General features: G+C 45.9%; 3 annotated features.

Annotated features, from left to right (window-relative positions):
* Positions 1262–1361: an enhancer, noted in NCBI's record as "active region_10171". NCBI's record gives its function as "activates an Ori minimal core promoter by ATAC-STARR-seq in GM12878 lymphoblastoid cells {active_cell/tissue: GM12878}" and the evidence as "EXISTENCE:reporter gene assay evidence [ECO:0000049][PMID:35858748]".
* Positions 1422–1471: an enhancer, noted in NCBI's record as "active region_10172". NCBI's record gives its function as "activates an Ori minimal core promoter by ATAC-STARR-seq in GM12878 lymphoblastoid cells {active_cell/tissue: GM12878}" and the evidence as "EXISTENCE:reporter gene assay evidence [ECO:0000049][PMID:35858748]".
* Positions 1742–2011: an enhancer, noted in NCBI's record as "active region_10173". NCBI's record gives its function as "activates an Ori minimal core promoter by ATAC-STARR-seq in GM12878 lymphoblastoid cells {active_cell/tissue: GM12878}" and the evidence as "EXISTENCE:reporter gene assay evidence [ECO:0000049][PMID:35858748]".

A 3039-nucleotide genomic window follows, 5' to 3' on the forward strand; every position in this document is an offset into this window, starting at 1 on the left:
GTTCCTGTAGTCCCAGCTACTCTGGAGGTTGAGGCAAGAGAGTCACTTGAACCTGGGGGGCAGAGGTTGCAGCGAGCCAAGACTGCACCACTGTACTCCAGCCTGGACGACAGAGTGAGACTCCATCTCAAAAAAAAAAAAAAAAAAAAGAAGAATATAATGAACCCTCATCTACCCACCTCTCAGCAAAATAAATAGAACATCATTAAGTCTTTGAAGAACCTTTGAAGTCTTTCTGATTTCATTCTTTTTCTTCTCTTGCAGAAGTAAGCAATATCTTGAACTGTTTATCATTTTTTTGCATTTCAGGAATATGTATATGTGTGCAGGCAGTTTTTCAAAGTCACACACACATTTCAACACACCTTCCTTTCCATCTCAGGCTGTTCTAGTGAGGATCTTTGCCATAATAAGCCACTGTTACCCTGGCAATGTATGGAATGCCCCAGAGTTTGAGGGTTTGAAAATTGTTAAGCTTTGGCTTCGAATCCCTTTGGAATAAGAAGTACTGAAGTCTGTTTGCAGGCTTTCTATTCTATCTTGTGGTTATGTTTATTTCTCCATTAGAGCCCACCTTGATGGTTGTGGTTTGGGGTTAGCTTTGTTTTAATATCTATCTAGTAGTGCACCGTGACCTCTCCCACACACAATGTTTAAACTACTATCACCTCTTCATTTTCCAAGAAAAACTTCGTATTCATACTATCAAGCCTCTCAAAAAGTCATCTGAGGGTTTTGATTCAAAGTATGTTACATTTATATGTTAATTTGGAAGAGTTTTTATATTTGTGATACTGAATCTTCCTAATCAAGAACTCAGTATTTGTTAAAATTTTATTTCCCTCAGTCGAGTTCATAGCTTTCTCAGTAGGTCCTGCTTGCTCCTAGTAAGTTTGTCTGTATGTCTATATTAACTTTTAATAGTATGATTTAAAAAGTCTTCTTTTACATTTTGTTTTCTACAAAGGAAATCTATTGATTTCTCTATCATTGCTTTTGAAGCCAGTCAGAAGGTGTCCATTTGAAAATATTCAGATAGACCTACCTAGTTCATAGAACAGGTGAGTATCAAATGAGAATAAGCAAAAGCTCTTTTAAACTGCAAAGTAATATATGAATGTGACCTACCCTTGTATTGTAGTTTTAAATTGGTGCCCAAGTCCTTACCCAGTTGTATTTGCCACAGCTATGCCATGCCATGCTCTGGCAATAAATTAACCTTGTAAGAAGCAGAAGTTTATTTCTTGCACCTGTAAGGCCCAGCAAGAGTGGTCAATAGTTCTTCTCCACGTGGTGACTCAAGGATCCAGGAGACGTCCATTTTGCCCCAGGTCACTGTAACACAGAAAGAGAGGGATGGAGGACACACACTGCCTCCTACTGCTTGTCCTGGAAGTAAAACCCATCTTTGGTGCTCACAGTCCATTGGTCAGAATTAGTCACATGACCTGGCCTCATAACAAGGGAGGCTGGGAAATCTGGAGTGCTCACAGAGAGGGTAGGTGAGTACTGCTTCCACCACACCAGCACAGTCATAAAGGCTGATGTGTGTGGTCTGGCACTTTCACCGAGAAGTTTCAGCCACAGAGGATGGGCCTTGCAGCTGCTGACAATGTGTGGGAAAGTGTGCTGAACCCAAACAAGCTCTTGGGTTCATGGCCGATTTCCTGGATTTCTCATTCACACCTTTTGTTCTTTCTGACTGGGCTTCTCTGTGTAAACATCCTCACTCACTCAATTCTTTGGCTTAGTCGTCACTTCTAATTCCTCATGGGGCCCTGGGTGACTTCTGAGGGAGCATCTTACCAGGCTTTCCTTGGGCCCAGTGGGGAGTCTGCTGGAAGAGAGCACCTCCAGCTCCTGGGGAGAGCAGAGGAACCCAGTGTCAGGACTCAGTCTTTTGGCTGCAAGCAACAGAAACCCACTCAAATTGACTTCTGTCTTCTCTCACACCCCATATCCAATTGCCAGGAAACCCTGTTGATCTTTCTGGAACTGCCGCTTCTCATCAGGTTTGCTGCCCTCACCTTTGTCTAAGCACCATCAATTCACATCTGAATGATGTGCGCTCTCAGGCAGCCTCCCTGTTTCTCCCCGTATTCCAGCCTCGAGAAAGCGGCCAGTGATGGTTTCATAGTGGAAGTCAGGTAGTGCATTCTTCTGCCCACGCCCTCCAGTGGCTGTCCTGGCCTGAGCCCCCCATACTTCCCCCGCCTTTTTTCCCATGGCTCTGGCCTTCACTCAGTCTCTGTTCCAGCCCCAGTCTCGTTGCTGTTCCTCAAACCTTCTGGGAGGGGCGTGGGAAAAAGGTGATTTCTGCTGGCCAGTGTGTACAGGCCCAGGACCACTGCAGCTCCCCATGGACCCCACGCCAGGGCCTGTCCCCACCACAGGGGACACGCAGCAGGCTGGAAACACTCCCCTCCCTTTGACACCTGGGGGAAATCGGAACAGATTGTAAACTCCATTGATTCCTAAGAAGGGAGGGGACGAAGGGATTTTTTTACTCCTATGACTGTTTGTAAGCAGATATCCCATTACATGACTAGAGTAAGGCCTCAGCACATTTTGAAAACTATAAGAAGCATATGTTGCTATAGATTCAACCATATTCACTGATCATGTAGTGGGCCCAAATGTTGTGCCTGAGGTTCTCATGTTCCCAAATCCTCCTCACAGCTCTGTGAACCGGGCCTGGTGGAAGTCTTCCTTGAACCTCAGAGGAGCGGTGGGGCCTGCCATAGCCATTTGGCTGGCAGAAGGGGGGAAGCCATGCTGTGAGCCAAGGTCTCTCATTTATTATTCCATGTGATGGGCGCTGAGCTGGAGCTGGGGACGCCTACCCCTGAAGAAGACAAGATTCCCCAAGCCTGGAACCCATGAGAGCAGCAGATCTAGTGTGGGGCCCCAGGATCACCTGCATGAAGATCACCTGGTATGTTTATGAAAATGTTCATTCCTGGGCCCCAGATTGGAATCTTGGTCGTGGAACCAGGTGACCTGCTGTTTATCATGCTGCAGGTGATTTTGTGCACACTG

This window comes from Homo sapiens, chromosome 15, assembly GCF_000001405.40.
Source record: "Homo sapiens chromosome 15, GRCh38.p14 Primary Assembly".
NCBI classification, from domain to species: Eukaryota; Metazoa; Chordata; class Mammalia; order Primates; family Hominidae; genus Homo; species Homo sapiens.